Consider the following 27067-nt stretch of genomic DNA (forward strand, 5'->3'; position numbering starts at 1 on the left):
TTTTGATGTAATGAGTTCCTTTCTTTTGGATGTATACCTAGCAGTGGGATTGCTGGATCATATCATACCTCAATGTTTAGTTTTCTGAGGAACCTCCAAACTGTTCTCCATAGTGGTTGTATGAATTTACATTCCCAACAACAGTGTAAGAGGGTTCCCTTTTCTCTGCACCCTTACCAGCATTTGTTATTACCTGCATTTTGGATATAGGCCATTTTAACTGGGGTGAAGTGATATCTCATTGCAGGTTTGATTGCACATATCTAATGACCAATGATGTTGAGCAACTTTTGGTCATGTAACTATCTTTAAAACAAATGCAGCTTGATCCCTTTTTAATGTAATCAGTTCAGCTTCAAAAACTGGTATATTGCATTTGGGATACAAACAGTCAACATGAATCTTCCAACTCAATTTATTTGTTTCAGCTCACGAACTTTTCAGAATCCCTAGTGGCTTAGTGACAAAGACCTTTGGAGAGAATGATCATGGGTTTTGATCAACACTGTCGCGATTGCATACAGACATAGCTAGAGAACAAGCCCAGTGATTATTCTACAGACCATAGGAAGCATCTACACCTCAGCTGTCGGCCGTTTGGTTACAGAAATGCGATCCTGCAAGTTGTCACCACTATACATAAAGTCAGGCTATGATAGCATATTTCACTTAAAAATAAATTATCACAATATAAGGCACATATGTATATGGAATCAGATTCATGATTTGAAAAATATGCTTAAATCACACTGAATCAGCTTAGCAGAAAAATAATTATAAAATTTGAAATATCCCCTTTTCTTTTTGTTTTGTACTAAATCAATGTAGAAAACACACTTTCTACCCTGAAGGAAACTGCTGTCTTATCTGATAAATTATATAAGCTCCAGTAAATGTATGTCATCACCCTCAGGAATGACAGGTCTCTCTTTCTCACGCTTGTGGGAATTGAGCGTTGACACTGTAAGAACACTTGACTAATAACCTTTGCCTAGACCTTCCAAACTCTGCGCGTAACTTCTTGAGAGATCTGAATAAAGGCCAATATTTTCACAGGTTGACAGGGTCTGGAGAAGTGGGTCACCGAGCACTCTGACATTTTTAAGTTCAGTTTACAGTAACTCTTTGCAAAACTTCAGGTTTTGCTGTACTTCAAATCATTTGGGCAAATTATAAGAAAATGAATACAAAATGTGTGACCCTTGGGTAATTCTGCACTTGGCTTTGTTCTCCCTTGGTGCTTTTGAGGACAATTTCTGCAAGGCCTGGTTTGGCTAAAAGGGACACTTCATTGAAGATCTCTAGGCCTTTTACTTTTTAAAGTGTCTTTTATTCTAAAGCTAGTTAACCACATATAGAAGTATGGTGTTTATCAGTGATGTAGATCCATTATGACAATGAATGGGAAGAGGTAATCTACTCCCCCCATTCTGTGCAAATCTCAAACGACAAAGCTAAGTTTTACTACAGATAAATCCATAACCAGGGGAAGGAAGAATTTTTAAATGCCCATTTTTTTCTTGTCCAAATGTTTGAAAAAGAAACATATTGAATCTCTATCCAGTGGTGTGGTTTCTGGTCTTTCTGGTGTGCTCAATTCTCTCTGTGTCATTTTGGTGTAAAAATACTATCCTACATTTACTTCCCTTGACCAGAAACCTTGAGACATCATAAAAATGTTAATTTAGCATTATTACTTCATGCATTCAACAATGCTGATTTCATGAAACCACACAAACAGGATTCTTTTGTTTTATTGATAACAGAAACTGTGCATAATTACAGATTTGATGAGGAATCTGCAAATAATAAAGAATGTGTCTATTGCCAGCAAAATACAATTATTCCATGCCCTCTCAACATACAAATATAGAGTTCTTCACACCAGATGGCTCTGGTGTAACAAAGCCATTTTAGATGTTTAATTGTGCTTCTACAAAACCTTCAGAGCATGAGGTAGTTTCCTTTACCTACGATATTTTCCACATTTCCATTATTACACTTTTAGTGAGCTAAAATCCTTTTAACATAGCCTGCGGATGATCTTTCACAAAAGCCAAGCCTCATTTACAAAGGGTTTATTTCTTTCTACTCAATTTTTCTTAAAAAGAATTTCAAGAATCACTACACAGCTAAGATATCTGAGACTTGCAATGGCTGGAGTCTATCAGTACAATAGTAATTGCAATCAGATTCAGATACAAGAGAACAGGTTCTAACAATTTCATAATTAAGTTGATATTCTGTTTCTATCTATAAGCTCACATTTAAAAACTACTTCCTCGAACTACTTATTTTTCCTCAGCCACAAGTAAGCGCAAATCCTTAAAAACAGTGGGTTGAGCCCCAGCTCCATGTATTAGGTAGCTAGGTATATTGTGGGATTATTCCTTGTTAAGTCACCCCAGGAAACATTTGCAGAATTTAGAAATGCATCCAGATTTGTGAGTTTATTTTTAAGACCTGACTAAAAATCTGCACTCTTCAAAAACTTATTGATGAAGTACAAATTGAGGCAGAAATTTACATTCCTTTCTTAACCCTGAGAATGAGTTTAATGATCATAGGAAACTAGTTTGAGGAAACTGCAATGTGTTATTGCACATTTTAGTTAAAAACTAATAGTCAACCAATTTCCAATTCAGTAAACCTTCCACCTATCAGGATAGGAGATAGTAAATAGTATCTCTAAGGGAAAAAAGTCACAATCTACTTCTTGTCTAAACTTATTATTTTATTTGGCCTCAAGAAGCTTCATGGATCTTAGAATAAAATGGTTGAAGAAATGACACAATAGATATTACTTACTATGCTATTATAAAATAAAGCCTAGTCCAAGTTGATAATAATCTAAAGTGGTTTCTATGTAACACAACCTTCAGATTATAACCTCAATAGTGTGACCTAATTCTAATATCTGATGAAGTGTTTGCTATATTTAGTCACTACCTAGTAGCATTATTTGTATTTAGCAACTACATTGAAAGCTGAAGAAGATCTCAATGCTTGACAGAATAAGGAAAAAGCTCCTTTGGATAACACAAAAATATGTTTTGTTTTTTTCCCCTCCTCTATCATTCCTTTCTTCTCTACCTCCACTTATTCTTCCTCTGATATCATCTTTCATTAAATTTTTCTCCAGAATCCAATAGTGAGCAACAGGAAACCTAGCCATTGTGATAGTGGATATGTAGAGAAAAGCCAGTGAAACTATATTTTAATTCATTCTTACACCACAGCCTACATCAATTCTTACCATCCCAACAGTAGATTACATAAACTGAACATCATGCAACTCAAGTTATACGTCTTGTTGATTGGGTCTATTGTAGAATGAAAAATACACTTTCAGACAGAATAAGATGACTTAAAACTTCAATACTTGTATCCAGCAGATTTGAAAGGGCACTTCAAATTTGTTCTTCTTTTTCTCCCCCATCACCCCCATTTCAATTTTTAAGACTGATTTCATGCCTTTATCATTTTGAAGCAAATATGTTTATATATGTCTGACCCCAGGAAATTATTTACCCACAAACACTACTATAACTACTATACTCTGTTGATATGTTTCATTATCAACCTCCCCAAATTAAACATCTGACAAGTCTTTTATATATGTATGCTGAAGAGAAAAAATAAATCACTTTCTTCCACCTTTGAATCTTTAAAAGGGGTTTGTGGTAATGATAAAAAATTTATCTCTTTCCACACATTTAAGACCTCATACTGTGCAAAATCATGGTTATATGAAAGTTATTTTCTGAATAGCTGGATCCATCACCTTCAAGCTAATACTTTAAACAGCATGGTTCATAATAGATATTTTCTAGAAAAATTCACTCTAGGATCATTTTCTTTGTTTATTTCCATCTAATCTGGCTTTGCTGAGAAAATCAGCAAGGATGCTGTAATCTGTGGTGTTAATTTATTAGGTGCACCATGATAACTCAACATTGTTTGAAAAGAATTCAGTCAACACATGTACTAGGTTGGTAGTAAATAGTAAAGAAAGAGAAGGTAATTCACACCAGATGAGGAATGGTGTGAACACTAACCTAAACACCAACCTTATTAAGTAGTTTTGCACTAGAAGAAAGGAAGGAATTAAAGAAGGATAAAGTTGCTTTAAAAATGAGATAAACTATTCATTGATTTCTTGATAAGAGATGTGTTCTGGCCTTCTTTGCTTATGATCTAACTATTCAGCTATCTAACTATGCTTTTATAGCTACAATCAGTTCAAGTAGTAGAATACAAACTCCATGAGGGTAATGTCTATATGCCATTGATTTCTTAAAACTAACTTCCTAATCTCTATTGTTGGTTATGTCAACATTTATCAAATGAACTATTAATAGAGTCTTCATCATCTTTGCCAAGTAATAGGTAATGCTCATTGAAAAGCTGGTACCCTTTGCCTCCTTTTGTGGGGAGATATCTGGAAAATAGCTGAACAAACTCTACATGTGGCGAAACAAAGTGACAGTTGTTATAAAATGTCTACTAAAATTACCTGCTAGCATTACTACGTATAACTGAAGTTTTTGCATATCCGCATAAGAAGAAATCCACATTACAAGGAAAAGTACTTTGATAATTTTAGAGTCAAGACATGAAATAAGGGATTTCTCTAACCCTTAACTCTTCTGCCGGCTTACTTGGTACCTCTGATGAATATTTATTGCTCTAAATGTTTTAGAAACTATCACTCTTTGAAAGTGAACAAACAATGTTTTCTGCTGAAAATTCATCTTTCCCAATCATAAGGGGAAACCAAATATGCAACTTGAAAAAAAAAAAGGAAACAGAATATAGTGACTGAGCACTGAGTGGGATTGAAGAAAATAAATGAGCTTATTTTGGCAGCTGCTTTCATAGCACAATTCCCCAAAAGCAGAACTGAAACTGTAGCTTTAATAAAAAGCTCCAACAATTCTTTTGACTAAGATATACTCATTAATTGCCTCCAAGTGTTCAAGACTGCTTGGATTTGAGGCAAGCAAGACCACTTGCTTAGGTAAATTTTATGAAGCAACAAAACTAATATGGTGAAGAATTTTAACCCAAGGTGTAACTTAGGTTTCCCATGTCTTCAAGAGAGCTGACATTGCATGTTACCATCTAGCTGATGTTACGCTCTGCTTTCTTGCTACTGCCTGCCTCTGCCTCTGTTTGTTTTTTTTTTTTTTTTTTGTCTTACATTTTTTCTTACAGCAATCTTTTGAGAAAAGAATAGAGAATGTTTACCAGGTAGAAAAAACCTGATTCCTTAACAAGACTTCTCAGTCACTTGTTTCTCTTTCCCTTTCACTTTTCCTTTGTGCTTTTGAAAACAAAGGCTAAAGCAGGTGTTATAAATTTATTCATTCCTGTGCTAGAGAGCATGGAACACATCTCTGAAGTCAACTCTTCTTTTGGTGTATCACGAGTTGAATCCTTAATAAATGACTGCCACAAAGAAAATTTCTAACAGCAAATCTTTTTAGGAACTGCTCAGGTTTTGCCTTTGTCTTGACACTTCATTTTAAAATCTTGGTTTCTACTGATGTGTTTTCAAAAAAGCTGACAAGCTCGGTCTGAAATGTAGAAACTGAAAAAAGTGAAAGGAAGAGAACATGCAATATAAGTTAATCATTATCATTTTAAGTGCCACCAGTTCTGTTTATATTAATGCACTTGTGAATTGCTGAATCTCATTTGATCAACCCAATTAAACATTAAATAATTGCAGCCAATTATGCAAATATCAGCAACAATATTAATTTGTTGATCTTTTTGAGCAGATTAGCTTCACATGTTCCTAATGCTAGACCATCTTATGCCTTAAACGATCAATTAGTGTGACAATAACTAAGTCTTGAAGAATGGATAATTGCCTAGTTATAATGTGGCACTCTTGCTGTATTAATCCACTGCAATTAAACAAATAGTGCACAAGGAAAAAAGATGTGCAGATGTTCCTGTTAAATCTATTTAACAAGAAAGCGTCAAGGTCAATTTCCTGTCTTATTACTTAAATGACAATGGTGGATTGTGTTCTCCTTATCAGGAGACCTCCAGTTTTTAAACATCTATCCTTAGTTTTCACTGGGTCTGATGAAAAGGGCTTAAAAATGCTCTTGAGGTTTTATGAAAGAAATGATACAAACATAATGTTCTCTAACTTTCACAATGGACAAGTCTCGCCACAATAAATTTGGAGATGCAAAGTATAAAATGTGTTGATGGCAAATAAATAATTCTCATTTCTCATAGGAATAGAAATTTAGTTACTATGTACCACTAGACAGTTTAAATTACCTGCAACTTTTTCCTAGACTACTATATGAAGAATGAGGTCAAAGGAGTTAGCCAAGGCGAAAGCACACCCTTAGAATGTTGCTCGGGGTACACAGTGCGCAGGCGACAGTCAAGAGCACCTCAGGCCTGAAAAGAACAGCTTCTCCCAAGATTTCAGATCACCAATTAAAAGCCCCCTAAAAGATATTTTTATCATTCCTTTTCATCTTATATTTCTCAATTTTCATTTTACTATCCCTGTCTATAAAAGACCCTATGGCTAAAAGTTTTGGAAAAGAATCAAAGCCCATTTTCTATGTGTTGCTAAATGCCTCAAGGAAATTTTTCCAATGCATCAAACTTTTAGAATCCTTTTTATTTTCCTTCTCTGAAAAGAGAATAAAATATGTTCAGCAAGAAGGAAGTTATGAGGACTGAGGGAAACCAAAATACAATGTCTGAGAGTTGACCTTCCAAGGAAAAATGTTTTCTGTCAAGATTTGACTTTCCTTAGATAAACCACAAAGGATACAATTTTAACTCACAGCTCCTAAACAAGGAAAATATCACCCATAGTAGCTCTCCCTGCATCCTAACCACTTGCTCATCAAATCTCCATTCAAAGAAAAGAGCACCTGCAAAAACAGAGTATAAAAATCAGAGTATGCCTCTTTGTTTTCTACCAAAAAAAAAAAAAAAAGATTTATTTCTGCAATTAACACTTGACATAAAACATTTGTCATTTCCATTTGGTTGGTATGATATCATGACCTCTCTCTAGAGCAGTGGTCCCCAACATTTTTGGCACCAGGGACCAGTTTTGTGGAAGACAATTTTTCCACAGACTGCAGGGTGAAGGGTGGTTTCAGGATGAAACTGTTACACCTCAGGTCATCAAGCATTAGATTCTCATAAGGAGCGCATAGCCTAGATCCCTTGCATGCAGAGTTCACAATAGGATTTGTGCTCCTATGAGAATCTAATGCTGCCACTGAGCTGACAAGAGGTGGAGTTCAGGTGGTAATTCGAGTGATGGGAAGTAGCCATAAATACAGATGAAGCTCCTCAATGGCCCACCACTCACCTCTTCCTGCTGTGTGGCCCATGGCCTGGGGGTTGGGGTCCCCTGCTCTAGGGATATATCTTCAATTCCAAGATAATTCTAATACAATCAATATGAAGTGATTTCCTAAACTAACTATGCTTCAGAGTATCTCTAATGACTTAGTAGCTCATGGAAAATAAAGACAATATAAGGTAAATCTATACACTGTCAGAATCAATCACAAATTCTAATAAAGAGGTTTCATAATATAGAAACAAAGAAGGTACACTTCTATAGAAGCAAAATGTTCACTGATTCATTATAAAACCATTTACTGAGTACCTACTATATGTCAGCCATGGGGGATACAAAGATCTATAAGGCACAAGACCCTCAGTCTTGTAGTCGCCTGACAGCCAGCCAGCTACAACATAATGTGGAAAGGACAATGGTGGGAAATGCACTCAGGTCTTCCTAATGCACAGAGTATGCTCAGGCTGTGACATCAGGAAGAAAACAGATATTTACCTTAACACGGACTTGGAGGACCTTCAAAAAACAGTGATGGGAGGAAATCCAGTTTTAAAAGTCTTGATTTAAAAAAAAGAAAACACTTTCTGTGGATAAAGATAGGCTGCAGGAAATGTAACCTATGAAATTTTCTCAAATTAGCTTTCAAACACACACAAAAAATTGCATTTGTTTGAGGAGCAGAATGTAACTTATATTAAAGAATAAACTACTATTTAGTATCTGAGTGAAGTACAAAAGGAGGCACTAAAATCATTGAGGAAAATCCCATGTTATATGGCTTACATTAATGTTTTTCTAGGTAAGGTAAGGTAAGTTACTACTACCAAGTTATGAAACACCATTTGATGATTGCAATTCATTTTCTCTGGCATGAAGAAACAATCACTCTTGTAACACATTGATACTACAAACTACATTATGCACAGGTAGCCAAAGAAATCTATCACAATTCAAATGCAACAGTCTGTCCCAGTAGCATACAGTTGGTATCCTCTATTTTCCATTGTATCCTCTATTTTCCATTCAGGATAGCACAATTGTCCAGTCGCTCTCTTCTCTTCCATACTGCAACAAAAGCAAGAAAACGTGTTTCAGTACAGAAGCTAACAGGGCAGAAATAGCTTACAAACAAACTTAATACCGCCAAGGTTACACAAAAGGTTCGCTTCTGCTTTGAACAACATTTTCACATTAAACATGTTCACATTAAAAACTGGATTAGAGAGAAAGAGAGGAAAAGAGGGACACCATATAAAACATAAGATAAAAGCATACATAGGGAGTTTTTTAAAAACCAAATACCTGAAAAGAATTACAAATTTTACAATTATTGCTGAACTCAAATTCATAGCTGGTATAGGTCCTTTATCTATTTAGGTACATGCCTTTTCATTATCATTTCTCATTGAGTTAACTTGCTTAATGACTGTGACTTTTACTGTGAAAAAGTGATCCTCAAAGTGTATTCTCAGACCACTAGCATCAGCATCACCAGACAACAAGTTAAAAATGCAAATTCCCAGACCTCATCTCAGACTGAATCAGAATCTGGGGATGGGTTCCAGCAACCTGTGATTCAGCAAGCATCAAATGATTCCGACATGCACTAAAGAGTGTTTTATGCTCATAAACAAAAATATGAAGTTGACAAGTCCCATGGATTTTAACAGAGACTCTGTTCTCTAAATCAAAGTTGTTCATGCTGTGTTAGCATTTTTCTTATTTCTTCAAAAGTTATGTAACTGTATCATAGTCAGAATTTCATTCTTTGCATCAGCAAATACTTTGGTTTAAAAGCAAGCCTGAATTTTAATATTCAAAATGAAATTAAATGAAATAGAGATATTCCATACATCACAAATAGAAAGCTAGTTCTATATTCATTCATTCAATCAGTCAGTCATTCAACAAAAATGCCTGTGTTTATAATAAGTTCTCACTCTGTGAGCAATTAATGTAGGCCAATGTCATCATGCCAGGAGTTTTACAGGCTTATTACCTCATTTAATACCCACAGTAACTGTACATAGAAGGTACCATTATCAATCCATTTTATGAATGAGAAAACTGAATATTAGGGAGATTGAATAACTTGCTCAAGTTTGCAGTTAACAGATGGAAGAGCCCAGACCCTAACCAAGCTCTCTCTCACAGCAAATTCCATGTTCTTGACCACCACCAAGACTGCTCGCCATGTGTTCACCGAGCCTTGTGTATTGAGACTGACTTGGAACAGATCTTTCCAAGCCAGTGTATCAGGCCACTAAATCTGTCACTATGGGTTTGCCTAAATCACTCAGACTATGTCTATTTTCACACGAAATGGCTCTTCTAGTCCTAATTTAACTTTAGTTTAAATTAATATAAAACATCAGAATTTCTGAACTAGAAACAATGTTAATAACCATCTAAAAGGTAGGAGATGACTCAAATAAGTGGGGCTCTGGATTTTACTTCTTTACTTCAGAACAATCCTACTTTTATCCATTTTGTATATTGGGATTCCAGGAGTGATCTCTTTTGAAGAAAGTTCTGCTGCATAAAAATCAAGTGTAAGGAGCAATGAATTTTAATCCAAGCTTCTCATCTTACATATAAGGACACTAAGGCTCTAGGTCACCCTTAATTTTGACAAGCCCAGTTCTCTGCCTCTGTCTGATGTTCTTTCTCCTATATCACAATGTACATGTGCTGTGTTTGTCTTAAAGACCTCAGAGAGCAGAATCTATCCAAGTGGTAAAAATACTGGCAGCCAAGAATGGGTCTACCTACCACCTGGTAGTTTACATGCAAAGGGGAATAAAGGAAGCCAAATGACTGTAAGTTTCTTGCATAATCCACACCAGAAAGCATTGCCTACAGACTGTAACTGCCCGCTATTGACTCTGTTGCTTCATGATGAATGCTGGATGAAACATCTTCAAATTCTACCTGATTTATGTATGATGTCAACATGACTTAAGGTAAGGGCAAAATATGTGTTTTATTTTCCTTACTTGGATTCCCATTAATATATTAAACACTTTCACCATTAATAACAGTTCATTGGCATTTTAGCAGATCTACAGAACTGTGATTCATGACTACTGTCACTTCATCTTGAATTTCATCAGTTAAAGTAAATTTGCTTTCAATTAGTTGTTTTAGTTTTATAAATGATCAAAAATCAATTTTGATTACAATGACAGTCGTAGGCCACATATCACTCTGCGAACCTGCATAATATGCACTAAGCTTTACTCTTCTCATTCTGTAATTTATGCTTTTATGTAAAATCATAGCATTCTGAGAAGTGCCCAAGAAATGTGATATTACAGGTAATTCATAATGTCTAGAAGTAGGCATTTAGTAATCAGATTTTCCATTTGGCTGATGGATAATGCAATTTAATTTTTCAAGGGAAAATAATTCTAAGTAGAGATGGCAGATTTAAGCAGAAATAGAAATTATATTATTTCCTTAAGAGTAAGTAAGTATACATAGAGGGAGGGAAAAGAGAAAACATGTCTTCATGGACTAGGATGTCATTATACTCTTGTCATTATACTCTTGTCATTGTCATTACAAAACAACAGTGCAGGCTCACACCTTCAATGTTTGGTAGGGCGGCTGTAAGTCACACTTACTTAGTTTTGTTCACTGGAATCAGAGATGGTGTCAAAGCAACGTGGCAAGTCAGGTCGAGCCTGCGGGATGGTATTTTGAGCCCATGTGGAAGACTTAATGAAATGTGCAGAATTTTAATCTTTTGCAAATTCCAGCGAGAACACTAAACTAAAACACGACTAATGACAAGTTCATTACCTCACATTCGAGGTACATAAGGCAGATAATTTCATACGGCTTTGCTAAATGCCTTTAAATTCCTGGCAAAACAAAAGCACAACCTGCATGTCATGCAGTCACTCTACGCAACGCCAATAAAACTATAGTCAGTGCTGCCTACCAGGTAGCAATCTGTCATTCTTGCTCTAAACCCTATTGAAAGGCTGTGCAAAGCTTTGTAATCCTGTAACACGTGGAGGAGGATGTGCTGGAAACAGAAGGGGCTGGGAAGCTGGTCCAGGGACTGAGTCACACGAGGGCAGTCTGGAAACAAAGTTTGTATGCACACGGAGGACAGCTTAAGACATTGGTAGGGAAGGGGGTGGAGCCTTTAACTTCTTATGTAACTAAGTCATGGAGCTGCTCCATTGAAAACAAGAAAAATACAATAACCACTAATAGTCATTTGTCCTTGAAAACTGTAGCCACTAGTGAGAACATAGATTTTTTTAATTCTATCTGGTGACCTGCAATCAATACAGATCCTGCTCCTATCTCATTCAAGCTGCCCCTTTCCTATGCTTCAGATGTCCATCTCTGGATCTTTGCAGTCGCTGCTTCCCACTTTATGGAGCTTCAACAGCAGCAATGCTGATTATTCACACATGCTCCCCCTGATACTTAAAAGCCAGGCTCTAGCTTTTATGTGATTATTTGTTGACAGCAGTGTCAACATGTATCTCATTTTGAAAAAAATCTAAATCAAGATCTCTTAAGAAATAATTTGATATTATTCAAGACCTTCCTCCCATCTCTTCTCGGAATGTGTTAATATACAAGAGCAATACATGTTTTGCTCTTTAGTATTTGTTTGGTGTTTCACTTGCCCATTCACTCCTTCAAGAAACATTACTGCATACGCATTATACCCTAGGCTCTGTGCTGAACACTGGAGGTATAAAGAGAGTGAACGATTCAAACAGCCCCAGAGCAGAGAGAAGTGCATGACTAATTATAATGTAATTTAAAGGCCTTACGGGATCATCCCCAGCACTGTGAAACTGGAGGAAGAAGCAGCATTCAAGTGAGTGAATGTGTATTTGGACTGAGCAAAGGGAATATTCTTCAAGAGAGATTCAAAAGGCTTCTGAACGAGATGAGTCATAAAGGACAGCCAAGGCCTTATCCAGGTGAGCAATTTCTAGAAGGTGCAGCAAAACCTGGAGGCATCAGAGAGCAGAACACAACTGCAGAACAGAGGACCCCAAGTGGCAGAGGCAAAGGTGAGTATGATGGTGAGTAACTGGAACAGTAAGGAATTTAACAGTAGAGAAAAGAAACACGTCGACAACACGGCCAATGCTCTCCAAGTTTAAGTTTGGTTAAATATAAACACAGACGTGCTTTTCTTTGTTGCTTTAAAAGAAGAAAAAGGAAAAACGAAACTGTCATTTGAAAAATTCTTCTCTTAGGAGGTATTTATAGAGCAATCTAAGACCCAGGGAGTTATGTGGACAATTAGCTAAATGGGATGAATACTTAACCTCAGAGATTATTACTCATATGCAGAAGTACAGAAGTTGAAAAGTCAAATCTGTGGTTATGAGGGAATTTTTCCCCTGAGCCATACTGGCAAGAATCTTGAAGGTTTTTTCGGTGGCTGTTGTTGGCCTCTTCTTCAATTTATCAGAGCACTTTGTAGAAAACATCCATGCTCCCATGTCATGCCAAAAGTAATGAAATGTAAAACATGATGCAATTCTATGCTTTTTCCTTAATAATTACTGAAATTTATTTTTCTTGGAGAAACAGACAATCTAGGAGCTTAGCTGACAGCCTCAATTTGCCATCTTGTAAGAGTAATTTTGAGACTTTAAGTTCCATGCACATAGGCATGAGATAACTGAGACGTGCTCTTCAATTCTGAAGGGATGGTCCTTTGTTACTAAACAATTTGTAGCACATTTGGTAGTTCTGGTTTGTGGTTAGTTCAGAACCACTGTTTCCACCTGTCCTGTGATTGCATGCCTTTGTTTCTTTGTTTAGTATGAGGTTCTGAATATATCATTTAGTTTTTTGTGTTAACTACCATTATACTTTACTACCAACGGTGAAAAAAGAAATTATTCATTTCTTATTGGCCATAAGCACTAATTTATAGAGGGAGTATATAAAGTTAGGGAGAAAAGGTTTTTTCCCCGTCTCCCATCCTCTGCTTAAACTATATATTTTACTTTTAAACTTTTTTACATGGTCTCACATTTACACTGAATATTTGTTTTGACTTTTTTTTTTTTTTCATTTGTTTTGACTTCTTTTTTTTTCAGATGGGGTCTCACTCTGTTGCCCAGGCTGGAGTGCAGTGGTGCTATCATGGCTGACTGCAGCCTCAACCTCCCTAGGCTTAAGGCATCTTCCCACCTCAACCTGTAGCTGGGACTACAGACATGTGACACCATGCCCGATTAATTTGTTTGTTTGTTTGTTTGTTTGTTTGCATTTTTTTGTAGAGACAGGGATTTGCCATGTTACCAGGCTGATCTCAAACTCCTGGGCTCAAGCAATTCTCACGTCTCAGTCTCCCAAAGTGTTGGGATTACAGGCGTAAGCCACCATGCCTGGCCACCTTCTTCATTTTTTTGCCCCCTTTTTCTTGAGTAAACCACCAGTACCTAGAATAGCCCCTGCATATGGCTTGCACTCAATATACACATTAAAGAGTTAAACAAGAACATTTACTTTAGTCACTAACATTCTGATATGGTTTGAATTTGTGTCCCCACCCAAATCTCATGTGGAATTGTAATCCCCCATGTTGGAGGAAGGGCCTGGTGTCAGGTAATTGCATCATGGGAGCAAACCTCCCCCTTGCTGTTCTCATGATAGTGAGTGAGTTCTAAGGAGATCTGTTTGTTTTAAAAAGTGAGTGGCACCTCCCACCCTCCCTCTCCTCCTCCTGTTCCCACCATGTAATATGTACTGGCTTCCCCTTTGCCTTCCGCCATGACTGTAAGTTTCCTGAGGCCTCCCCAGCCATGTCTCCTGTATGGCCTGCAGAACTGAGCGTCAATAAAACCTCTTTTCTTTACAAACTACCCAGTCTCAGGTAGTTCGTTACAGCAGTGTGAGAACAGACTACTACATATCCTTTTGGCTTCTATAATCTTACTTTTAAAAATGCTCTTTCTGAGAACTTTGGTAATGGTTTCCCATCTTACCCCAAAATTGTGTGTTTGGGCTTCTCTTTCAGTCACTTTCAGGTTTGAATGCACATATTTTGTCACCATTTCAATTTTGATGAGTTGCATTTCTGCTTTTGCCTCCTAGAGTTTCCTTCCTCAGTGAAAGCTTCATGATCATGTCTGCCAAACACCTCCACTTAGATCTTTATACCAATTCAATAGAGTTCAATTTTTCTCAGCCTAGTGACTACGTTTTCCTTTTCTATTAATCCTTTACAGCCAAATCAAATGAGTTTACATTTCCTTCCTTCCTTCCTTCCTTCCTTCCTTCCTTCATTCCCTCCCTCCCTCCCTCCCTCCCTCCCTCCCTCCTTCCTTTCGAGACAGGGTCTCTTTCTACAGTGAAGGCTGGAGTGGAGTGCTGTGGCACAATCATAGCCCACTGCAGTCTCACATTCCTGGCCTCAAGTGTTCCTCCTGCCTCAGCCTCCTGAGTAGCTGGAACTACAGGTGTGTGCCACCACACTTGCTATTTTTTTTGGTTGTTTTGTGGAGACTGGGTCTTACTATGTTGCCTAGGCTCGTCTTGAAGTACTAGCCTCAAGTATTGTTCCTGCATCAGCCTCCCAAAGTTTTAGGATTACAGGAATGAGCCATCATGCCCACCTAAATGTTTTTATTTCATACAATCTCCAAGAGGTAACCCTGAAATCTTATTTGGTGTATTAACTGCTACAGAATGTACAATTTGTTTAAGAAAATACTGTATAATTTGTTCAAGAAAATTTTCCAAAAGGGTCTTTCTTTCTTATCACTATGGGCACACTTCTCTTAAAAATTTCTAAACTCCTGATTTTTAAAATTTTAATTAAGATAAAATACACATATATAATTTACCATCTTTACAATTTTTAAATGTTCAGTTTAATGGTAATAAATACATTTATATTCTTGTTTTTTTCCTTTATCCTCTACTTCCCACTCCCCTTCTCGGCCTCTGGTAACCTCTAATCTACTCTCTGTCTTCATAGGATCTACTTTTTTAGCACCTGCATGAGAACATGTGATGTTTGTCTTTCGGTCCCTCGCTTATTTCACTTAACAAAATGGCCTCCAGTTCCATACATGTTGCTGCAAATGACAGGATTTCATTCTTTTTTATGGCTGAATAGTACCACATTGTGTGTGTGTGTGTGTGTGTGTGTATATATATATATATATATATCTTTATGCCACATTCTCTTTATCCATTTATCTGTTGACAGACATTTAGGTTAATTCCATATCTTGGCTATTGTGAATACTATTGCAATAAACATGGGAGTGCAGATATCTCTTTGATATACTAATTTTTTTCTTTTGGATATATACCCGGTGGTAGAATTGCTGGATCACACGGAAGTTCTAGTTCTACTTTTATTTTTGGAGGACCCTCCATACTGTTCTCCATAGTGGCTGTACTATTTATATTTCAACCAACAATATATGATGGTTCCCTTTCTCCACATCCTCCCAGCATCTGTTATTGCCTGTTTTTTTTTTTTTTTTTAATACAAGCCATTTTAACTAGGGCAAGTGGATTTTACATTGTGGTTTTGTTTTGCATTTCTCTGATAATTAGTGATGTTGCGCATTTTTTCATGTACCTCCTGGCCATTTGTCTGTCTTCTTTTGAGAAATGTCCATTCAGATCTTTTATCCATTTTTAATCAAATTTTTTTTTCTGTTGAGTTTTCTAATCAGGTCTCATGCCCATTTTAAAACCAGATTACTAGATTTTTCCTATACAGTTGTTTGAGCTCCTTATAGACTCTGGTTATTAATCCCTTGTCAGATTGATAGTTTGCAAATATTTTCATCCATTCTTTGGGTAATCTATTCCCTTTGTGGATTGTTTTCTTTGCTGTGGAGAAGCTTTCCAGCTTGACATAATCCCAATTGCCTATTTTTGCTTTGATAGCCTATGCTTTTTCAGGTCTTACATAAGAAATCTTCGCTGGCCAGGGACAGTGGCTTATGCTAGTAATCTCAGCACTTTGGGAGGCTGAGACAGGAGGATCCCTTGAGTTCAGGAGTTCGAGACCAGCCTGGGCAAGATGGTGAGACTCCATCTCTACAAAAAATTTAAAAATTAGTGGAATGTGGTGGCATGCACCTGTGGTTCTAGCTACATGGAAAGCCAAGGTGGGAGAATTGCTTGAGCCCAGGAGGTCAATGCCACAATGAGCCAGGTTCATGCCACTACACTCCAGCCTGAGTGACAGAATGAGATCTTTGCTTAGACCAATGTCCTGAAGCATTTCCTTAATGTTTTCTTCAAGTAATTTCATAGTTTCAGGTCTAAGATTCAAGTCATTAATATACTTTCATTTGATTTCTGTGTATGGTAAGAGAAGCGAATCTAGTTTCATTCTTCTGCATATAATTATCCAATTTTCCCAGCACCATTTATTGAAAAGACTGTCTTCCCCGTTACAGTTCTTGGCACCTTTGTCAAAGATGAGTTGGTTGTAAACATGTGGACTTAGGTATCTGGGTTCTCTATTCTGTCCCACTGGTCTACTATGTCTGTTTTTATATCAGTACTATGCTGTTTTGGTTATTATAGTTTTATAATAAATTTTGAAGTAAGGTAGTGTGGTGATTCTAACTTTGTTCTTTTTGCTCAAGATTGCTTTGGCTATTTGGGGTCTTTTTAGCTCCATATACATTTTAGGATTGTTTTTTCTATTTCTGTGAAGAAAGTCATCAGTATTTTAATAGGGATTGCATTGAATCTGTAAATTGCTTTGTGTAGTATAGTCATTTTAACAAAATTAATTCTTCCAATCCATGAATATGGAATATCTTTCCACCTTTGTGTGTTTTCTTCAATTTTTTAAATCATAGTTTTATACTTTTCCTTGTATAGATCTCTCATGTCTTTGGTTAGATTGATTCCTAGGTATTTTATACTTTTTGTGGCTATTATAAATGGGATTGCTTTCTTGATTTCTTTTTCAGATTGTTCACTGTTAGCATATATAAATTCTACTGATTTTTATATGTTGATTTTATATCCTGCAACTTTACTGAATTCATTTATCAGTTCTACAGGTTTTTTGAGGGAGTCTTTAGGTTTTTCTAGGTGTAAGATAATGTCATCTGCTAAGAAAGCTAATTTAACTTCTTCTTTTCCAATTTGGATGCCCTTTATTTATTTTTCCTGCCTATTTGCCCTGGCCTCTAAACCTCTGTTTTGGAAAAAGGCTTTCATGTAATCTAGCCAGTTATGTATTTTTTGTTCTATTTGTGTTCTTTATTTGAGCAAAACTGTAATAATTTATTATTTTCAGATTTACTCAGGCAACCTTAAAAAAATTAAAATGCCTAAGCCATCCATGCAGAAATTTTTATTAGCTACTCTTCAAATTACTTGTAAGTGTTGCTGTGTACAAAGGTAGAAAACAACTCTGACTAAATTTTATTTCTTCCAATATTAAGATATTCCTTTACTTAGCTTACAGAAAATTCTCATAGAAAACCTTTGCTGGAGAGCAGAAGTATGGCAGCTCATTGATTAAAAAACCACAATCAAGGCCAGGGTGCGGTGGCTCATGCCTGTAATCTCAGCACTTTGGGAGGCTAAGGTGGGCAAATCACTTGAGGCTAGGAGTTTGAGACCAGCCTGGCCAACATGGCGAAACCTCGACTCTACTAAAAATACAAAAATTAGCCAGGCATGATGGTGCATGCCCATAATCCCTGCTGTGTGGGAGGCTGAGGCACAAGAATCACTTGAACCCAGGAGGCAGGGGTTGCAGTGAGCTGAGATTGCACCACTGCACCCCAGCCTGAGCAACAGAGTAAGACTCTGTCTCAAAAAAACAAACAGAAACAAAAACACACTTTCTTTCTTTTTAATACTGTAAATTTGGCAGAAAACTTGCTGAGTAAGTCTCTTTTAAAACTGCCTTTTAAACTCTCTTTTAAACTTTTATTTTTATTTTATTTCCCTTTTTTTAGAGGAAGGTTCTCACTATGTTGCCTAGGCTAGTCTTGAACACCTGGCCTCAAGCGATCCTCCTGTCTTGGCCTCCCATAGTGTTGGGATTATAGGTGTGAGCCACTGCACCCAGCCAGAAATGCCATTTTTATCACTACCCAAGGACCTCCATTGCTCTCTGGAGGCCTGTTGCATTCTCAGCCACCTTTAAGTTTCACTTAGTTTCATGACTTAATGCCATCCGACATCACTCAAATGATCAAACTTTATTTTACTTTTCAATGTAAGTCTCAGGCCCTCTTGGATATTTTTACTAATTGACAAGGATAGTAACTGGCTTCAACAAAGTCTTCTAACTTGTGAAATGCTTGCAAATTACAGGATAATCTCTTTTCTGAGTAGCCCAGTGTTATCTGGTATTTAGCATGCCTGCTTAACTGCCTGATGAGGCATTACTGTAGATTATTGCTCAGAAAAAAAATAGGCAAAACAAAGTTAGCAGTATGAAAAAATAGACGTGTATACTCTTTGATCCCAGATTTATCCTTAGGAAGTAATCGAGGATGTACTGTCCATACTAGTGAAAAAAAAATTGCCAACAACATAAATGTTCAATAATATAATTTTTTAAAAAAATTATGGTACATCAATATAATGGAATTCAATTAAACTTTATAAATGGTGTTGGAGAAAACTACTTATTGATATAAAAAAGCAAAGCATTTATTCAGTGAAAAAACATGTAACAAAATTATGTACAATATGATCCCATTTTGTTAGGAAAAAATAACTATCTAAAAGTATACTGGCTGGGCATGGTGGCTCACGGCTGTAATCCCAGCACTTTGGGAAGCCAAGGCGGGTGGATCACCTGAGGTCAAGAGTTCAAGACCAGCCTGGCCAACAGGGCAAAACCTCATCTCTACTAAAAATACAAAAATTAGCCGGGAACGGTGGCATGAGACCTGTAATCCCAGCTACTCGGGAGGCTGAGGCAGAAGAATCGCTTGAACCCAGGAGGTGGAGGTTGTAGTGAGCTGAGATCATGCCACTGTTCTCCAGCCTGGGTGACACAGCGAGACTTAGTCTCAAAAATAAATAAGTAAATAAATAAATAAATAAATAAATAAATAAATAAAGTATATAAATGCTTACAAAATATTGAAGGTTAAGACATCAAAAAATGGCAGGGCACAGTGGTTCATGCCTGTAATCCCAACAATTTAGGAGGCCAAGGCAGGTGGATTACCTTAGGTCAGGAGTTCAAGACCAGCCTGGCCAACATGGTGAAATCCCATCTCTACTAAAAACACAAAAATTAGCTGGGCATGGTGGCGCACACCTATAATCCCAGCTACTCGGGAGGCTGAGGTAGGAAAATTGCTTGAACCCGGGAGGCAGAGGTTGCAGTGAGCCAAGATCGTGCCATCGTACTCCAGCCTGGGCAACAAGAGTGAAACTCCAGCTCAAAAATAAAAAGACATAAAAAATTAACAGTGATTATATCTCAGTGTTGGAATCACATGCACTGTAATTTTCTTCCTGAAGTTGCTTCTACTTTCAAATTTTTTCTTCCTTTTTTTAACAAAAGTTATGTTATCCTTCTTAATGAGATTTTTAAATGTTACCAAAAATTACATCTATTTTTTAATGTTAAGTAATGTGGAGTCCTGAACAATATTTTCTTTCTTTTTTTAAAACATACATCTTCTTTCCCATTTCTGCTTTGCTCATGCCCACACATTGTGTTGGGAATATCTTCCTTAAATTTAACTTATTGATCTCAAATTGTATTATTTAATCCTCTTCATTGAAATATAATTTAGTTGTAAGCTCTGACAGAAATAAGGTGACATAAAAAAAAGAAAAGAAAAGGAAAGAAAAGAAAAGAAAAGAAAAGCTTTACCTGGATATCAGTTAATTTGCTCAAGATGCGGCTTGCCAGCTTAGGACCATTCTCCATAGTTGGAATGTGTATTGTCTACAAAAGAAAGGGAAATGAGATAATTTGAGGGTACTCATGTATATGGTGATAACAGATAAGACACTCAAGCAATTCTGCTATACTAAGGCAATTCCACTGAAGTTAAGGAATAGCACTAAAACCTACTGACTCTGAGTGCTAGCACCTTATGCCAAAGACTTTCATATCCAAAATTTGAATAAAAACTAGCCAATGACAGGTTATACATTGCCTACCTACCAATTAATTTTAGGGCATAACTGGTTTGTATACCAGCCTTCAGGATCATTTGAAGAACCAAGGAGGAGCTACAGTTACCTAAAATAGTGGCTAAACTTAAAGAACCCTACCTCTTCCAAGATTCTGAGAATCTGTAAGGATGAATGATTGTCTTCTACATATTAACCCTCTGGCTAATATGAGAACTCAAAGATATTTTGCCACAGTTTAATGCAAGTCATTCTGGGAGCATAAATTAAAGCAAGTCTATGACTTCATAAAAGGGGCTTCTATACCTATCTCTGGCCCAAGGTAAACTTCCAGGGGCCACTACCTCCACAATATTGGATAGCATGATTAAATGCATGGCTGAAAGAGATTTCATGCTTCTAATTTGTATCTGAGTCATGCCTACTCATGCCTTGCTGGCTTGCAGGTTTTGATAGTTTGATTTTAGGAGATAGTCTGTGCTCTCAAACACTTTTCATATTATACCCTTTAGTATAATATGATAATTATATATACTTACTTTTTGGCTGTAAATGCTTCCTAAGCCTGGATCATTAAAATTATGCTAAACTTTATAAACTTCTTATTTCTAGAAGTGAAATAATAATTCAACTTAAAAAAAATCTGGCCTAATGACAACTTCAGTGGATGGATCACATTACCTTGATGCATTCTTATCAATGTAAGTATTGACATGAAACAGAACAATTCTTCTCCCATGAAACAGTCTATCTGTTGATGCAATTATGTCAAGAGCAATCCCTTAAAAGCAAGTTCTAAAACCTCAACAAATGAAGCAGCCATTATTAAAGTCAGAGGAGTTGAGCAAAACTCCAATCAGCTGAGGGAAAATAACTCTAAAGTAAAATTTGAAAACCAGTGGAGTTTGCATTTACGGTTGACACTTGAACAACACGGGTTTGAACTACACAAGTTCACTTATACGTGGACTTTCTTCTGCCTCTGCCACTCCTAAAACAGCAAGACCAATCCCTCCTCCTCCTCCTCCTCCTCAGCCTACTCAACATGATGGACAATGAGGATGAAGACCTTTATGATGATCCACTTCCATGTAATGAATAGTAAATATATTTTCCCTTCCCCATGATTTTCGTAACTTACTTTATTGTAAGAATACATATATAACATACATAACATACAAAATATGTGCCAATCGACTGTTTTTGTTGTTGATAAGGCTTCCGGTGAACAGCAGGCTACTAGTAGTTAAGTTTTTGGGAAGTCAAAAGTTATATGTGGGCCGGGCATGGTGACTCACGCCTGTAATACCAGCACTTTGGGAGGTCAAGGCAGGTGAATCACTTGAACTCAAGAGTTTGAGACCAGCCTGTGAAACATCTTGAAACCCCGTCTCTACAAAAAATACTAAAATTAGCTGGGTGTGGTGGTGCACACCTGTGGTCCCAGCTACTTGGGAGACTGAGGTGAGAGGATCGCTTGAGCTTGGGAGGCGGAGGTTGCAGTGAGCCGAGATTGTGCCCCTGCACTCCAGTACAGGTGACAGAGAAAGACCCCGTTTAAAAAAACAAACAAACAAAAAAAGTTGTATGTGGATTTTTCAACTGCATGGGGGTTGACACCCCTAATCCCTGTGTTGTTCAAGGATCTGCTATAATATGAATAACTTAAGCCAGTTCACATTATAAGACTAATACTTACATGCCTTTAAGTTATAAAGTTAGATGCCAATGTTAATCATAAGTATTGGAGCTTTGTTATAAAGTGAAAAGCAAAACAATTTGACAAGAAAACAAAAGTATGGCACATATAAAATCAGACTAATTTACTAAGAGGAGAACATTTCTTCCAACCAAATCCTCAAATTCCTTTTGTAAGATTTTAGTAAATGCACCAGGTTTGCCAATGAATAATTCTTGTAAAGTGGTCTACTTACTATTAATGATAACAGCATTAATAGTAAAAAAAAATCAAGGGATTGACCACTCGAATGCATTTTCCATAACTATTTGCCATTCCTAATCCAGTGGTTTGGAAGTACTTTTGGTTAACCAGAAACTGAAATGTAACTACCTATAGAGCCTTCCCTAGTGAGCTGGTAGGAAGGAAGAGAGAAGAGTAGAAGACTGTCGGCATAGCTCCAATCCCGACATGTAGGTAAGACAGATCTTACACGTGTCCAAGGACAAAACTAACTTCCCACCATGTTTAAGCTTACATGAAATCACTGGAAACATAGTAGATATATGCTAATACAGTTTCATCTGGATAAACTGTCCCAGTTATTTTTTTTGTAGTGCCAAGTTAAAAAACAAAAACAACAACAAAAAAGACCTAGCATGGTGCGGTGGCGCACTCCTGTAATCCCAGCAACTCAGGAGGCTGAAGCAGAAGGATTGCGTGAGCCCAGGAGTTTGAGGCTGCAGTGAGCTATGATCACACCAGTGAATAGCCACTGCACTCCAGCCTGGGCAACACAGCGAGACTCCATCTCTTTAAAATAAAGAAAAACAACAACAACGACAAAACTTTTGCATCTTGGGTCTGGGTCCAGATACAATTTTATTCATACACTTAAATTAAATGTAATTTAATGTGATTGGAAATGATAGGAAATGAGGAAATACTTGTCGTACCTCGCCTTTGTACAGTATATCAGAAACTGGGCAAACAACACAGGCTGTACCAGAGCCAAACATCTCTCTCACTCTGTTCCCCTCCAGGGCTGTTGTCAAGTCATCCATGGTGAGGTATCTCTCTGACACCTTAAATTCACCCTGCATGGAATATAAAAAATAACAAGTATATTTTAAAGGAAAAGGCATGCAAAACAATTGCAATACTTACTGTTCTGCTTAACATTCTGATTGCACTTAGACAAGGTCACAATCATCCTTTAAGGGAAAGCTGGAAGTGGCACACCATCTTACTGGTGAACACATCGAGGTGTTAAGTAACCTACTTCAAGGTCACAGATTTATATATGAGATTATCAGAATATAAAATATAAGATTATCACCACAAGACACATGGTATACTTTAACATATGCCTTCTTTTTTGCCTTCTTATTTGTTAACTTGTATAAAGTCTCACAAAATTGATGCATCCCAAATGCTGCTTGATGCATGCTCCGTGTTAACAGTGTCTTAGGCCGGGCACGGTGGCTCATGCCTGTAATCTCTGCATTTGGGGAGGCTGAGGCAGGCAGATTACTTGAGGTCAGGAGTTTGAGACCAGCCTGGCCAACCTGGTAAAACCCTGTCTCTACTAAAAATACAAAAATTAGCCAGGCATGGTGGCGGGTGCCTGTAATCCCAGCTACTCAGGAGGCTGAGGCAGGAGAATCGCTTGAACTCAGGAGGCAGAGGTTGCAGTGAACCAAGATCACGTCACTGCAGTCCAGCCTGGGTGACGGAGTGAGACTCTGTCTCCAAAAACAAAACAAAACAAAAAAATCAGTGTCTTAAAACCTACTTTACCATAAAGGAGAACAATGTATTATATAATATTAATAATTATAGCTACCATTTATCAAGCACCCGCTATTATGCCAAGTTCTGTAATTTTAAGGGTGAGTACTATCATCCCCATTTTACAGATGAGGAAACTAAGGTTCAAGGAGGTTGAAGGGCATCTCCAGGGCCACAAAGGAAGTAAGTGACAGAAACTCAATTTGAACCCAGGTCTGATCTGATTGGCTCCAAATTTGGTACTCTTTCTACGTTTGTCTCTTTCTTTTTTTTTTTTTTTTAAGACAGGGTCTTGCCCTGTCACCCAGGCTGGAATGCAGTGGCATAATCTTGGCTCATTGCAGCCTCGACCTCCCAGGCCCAAGTGATCCTCCTGTCTCAGTCTCCTGAGCACCTGGGACTACAGGTGTATGCTGCCATGCCCAACTAGGTTTTATATTTTATATTTTATTTTGTAAAGATAGGGGTCTCCCTATGTTGCCCAGGCTGGGCTCATGTGATCCTCCCACCTCAGCCTCCCAAAGTGCCAAAGTGCTGGGATTATAGTTGTGAGCCACTGTGCACGGCTTACCTATATCTTTTATGGAATAAAGAACAGACTGAGTTCAAATATCTGAAATACTCATTATTTTTAAACGTTGAATGTATATTTGGACTTTATTTGAGAAATTGTATTGTATGTATTTTTTTTCCTAATATGACTAACAGTTGACTTTACAGTGACAATTCTCTTCCTTCTCTTTCAGTATCACATTCAGTTGATTTTCATCATGGAATTAGTGGTATAACCTCATTGACTTCTGCCAAAGTGTTTGAATATATTCTTTGCTCAAGGATAGGAAATGGGAAAAAGATCCTTTTAAGCTATGTGTTTAAACTATCTGTTTAATTCTTGTTCTTTTACCTCAGTGGTTCAAGTTCAAAGTTTGTCAACAAGTTATTTGAATAAAGGGCAATAAAAATAGAGAGGTTTAAAAAAATAAGATGAGTATTTTTTCTTAATTTATAAACCCACAAGAGATAAAAATGGAAATCAAAGCTCTTGGCAATATTCAAAATATTTGAATATTTAAAAGAAGAACTCATGCTGTAAGTAGATTTGGAAGAGCAGGAAAATATATCTGCAATAGAAATATGGCTCTTTGAAAGTTTCAATTTCTCTCAGTCTACAATTGCAATTATGTTGTTCAAAAGTAAATGAACTGCAGAAAATCAGGCAAATTAATTGAAAACAAGCTGAGTTCTGTGTCCTGAAAAAGAAAAGAAAAGAAAACTCTTTTGTAAATAAGCAGAATTGTTTTTGCTCTGCTCACCCTTACTTATCTTTGGACAATTTCCCCTATCTGGCAAATAGTGGTGACCCCCTACATGCCTCTTGGCATTTCACGTCTCATGTTTTAAAATAGCTTTTAAAATAAATTACAGCTATGAAGTCAAGAAAAAATTTCCTCCATAATAACCTATTTTTCATGCTAGCAAATCATTAGTGTGGGAAAGTATTTCCACTTGCAACTTGTCGTCGAACCTTCTGTACTTGGTTGATATTTTTCTTTAATAAAACAAAAATTACTGAGCTTCAAAAATATCTTTCCAATTGCAAACATATTTAGGACAGGGCAAGCTGTTTGAAAATTATACCAACGGTTTGTAAATGTCATGCCCAATGCGCCAGCCAGCATGTAGCAGTTGGGTCTTGTCTACTTCAGGGTTTTGTAGAATTATTTATAGCACATTTCATCTATTTTGAAAGTCTTTTCCAGAGAAACCATGCTGGTATGCTCCTAGATAACGTGTGTGTTTCTAAACATTTGTCCTATTACTACTAGTACTCTTTGACCACAGTAAGCTCAAAGCCTTTTCATGTTCTTTGGAGACCATTTTAACACCTGGGTCAAAAGTTCCATCCAAGAACCTTTACCAGACACCCAATTCATTCAATAATTTGTCTTGAATACATTACGTCATTTCCAAAACCAAACCTTTTTAAATTTTATTTTATTTATTTATTTATTTATTTATTTATTTATTTATTTATTTAATTTACTTTTAGAGACATGGTCTCACCCTGTATTCAGGCTGTAGTGCAGTGGCTTGATCATAGCTCACTGCGACCTTGACCTCCAGATCTTATGCCATCCTCCCACCTCAGCCCCTCCAAGTAGCTGGGACTACAGGCATGTACCACCATGTTCAGCTAATGTTTTTGATTTTTTTGTAGATTCGGGGTCTCACTATGTTGCCCAGGCTGGTCTCGAATTCCTGGGCTTAAGTGATCCTCCTGCCTTGGCCTCCCAAAATGCTAGAATTATAGGCATGAACCACTGCACCCGGTCCACCAAATTGTTTAATATGCTTGCCTGTGTCACACGAATTTGAAAGTCTACTGAAAACAACTTTACATTTGCTTGCATGTTCTGATTTTAAAATAGGCATGTATATGAATTTTGGAGGATGGGGGTAGGACAGAGAGAAAAAGAAGGCAGTCAAACCAATAATGTTATATTAGTAAACATTTATATGTCAGTGAAATTATTTCATTTCTACGGCAAGCATGGTTACACTGGTATAAATAAAGGAAAGGAAGAAGTATCATTGCCATTTGGAAGCAACACAGACTTGGGAAGTTAAGGAATGTCTGGATGGAAGCACATCAGGTATGAACCAGACAAAAGTTGGTGGGAGATACCTGGTAGACTGAGACTACTACTAGAATACTTCTCCACTATGACATCTTGCTAAACTGGTTTCTCTCTGCCCTTGCTATCAACAATACTTATTTTAATAGTCTTGCCAAGAAAGCCCTTCTAGAAGAATACTTTTCATTCACGTTAGAATTTAAAGATTAGATAACATTGGTTGGAACCACAGGATATTATTTCAACACTAGGCTGGGCTTATTTTGATTATTTTTTATTTCAGGCTTACAAAAGTTGTTCATATCAAAGGCACCCACCCACTGATGTGCCAGGTCCAGAATGCACCGCCTTGTCACTCCTGGAAGAATGATGCCATCTAGTGGAGGAGTTGCCAGTTCTTCTTCTGTCAATCAGAAATTGGGACATTTTCAAACTTTCACTACATTAGGCATGCCTTATTATCAATAGCCATTTTTTTAAAAAACCATCACAATTTTG

General features: G+C 37.0%; 1 protein-coding gene and 1 long non-coding RNA gene across 42 annotated transcripts in view, besides 2 other annotated features; one reads left to right on the plus strand and one right to left on the minus strand.

Annotated features, from left to right (window-relative positions):
* The window catches only part of BCAT1 (branched chain amino acid transaminase 1), a 139317-nt gene continuing 112649 nt past the window's right edge, over positions 400-27067 (minus strand). For 25 of the 39 annotated variants that reach the window (NR_182106.1, NR_182108.1, NM_001413107.1 and 22 more), the window contains 4 exons: positions 26887-26972; positions 23099-23239; positions 20199-20273; positions 400-8425 (listed from right to left, as the gene is read on the minus strand). Coding sequence is in view for 31 of the 39 variants with exons in the window: in NM_001413107.1 (NP_001400036.1) it covers positions 8384-8425; positions 20199-20273; positions 23099-23239; positions 26887-26972 (344 nt within the window). In the remaining 8 variants the exon portion in view is untranslated. Of the gene's footprint in view, positions 8426-10986; positions 11080-20198; positions 20274-23098; positions 23240-26886; positions 26973-27067 lie in introns of all 39 variants that reach the window. The other 14 variants (XR_007063110.1, XR_007063108.1, XR_007063109.1 and 11 more) reach the window with 7 other exon arrangements.
* BCAT1-AS1 (BCAT1 antisense RNA 1) lies at positions 10234-26931 on the plus strand. Of its 3 annotated transcripts, none has more exons than XR_007063243.1 (4): positions 10234-10323; positions 12156-12408; positions 21077-21165; positions 26853-26931. It is a non-coding gene; the product is annotated as a BCAT1 antisense RNA 1 (long non-coding RNA). The 3 variants fall into 3 exon arrangements; XR_007063245.1 differs by having other exon boundaries at positions 12156-12315; XR_007063244.1 differs by lacking the exon at positions 26853-26931 and adding an exon at positions 24680-24878.
* Positions 12376-12575: an enhancer, noted in NCBI's record as "active region_6102". NCBI's record gives its function as "activates an Ori minimal core promoter by ATAC-STARR-seq in GM12878 lymphoblastoid cells {active_cell/tissue: GM12878}" and the evidence as "EXISTENCE:reporter gene assay evidence [ECO:0000049][PMID:35858748]".
* Positions 12966-13015: an enhancer, noted in NCBI's record as "active region_6103". NCBI's record gives its function as "activates an Ori minimal core promoter by ATAC-STARR-seq in GM12878 lymphoblastoid cells {active_cell/tissue: GM12878}" and the evidence as "EXISTENCE:reporter gene assay evidence [ECO:0000049][PMID:35858748]".

The sequence above is a fragment of the Homo sapiens genome, chromosome 12, assembly GCF_000001405.40.
Source record: "Homo sapiens chromosome 12, GRCh38.p14 Primary Assembly".
Taxonomy (NCBI): domain Eukaryota; kingdom Metazoa; phylum Chordata; class Mammalia; order Primates; family Hominidae; genus Homo; species Homo sapiens.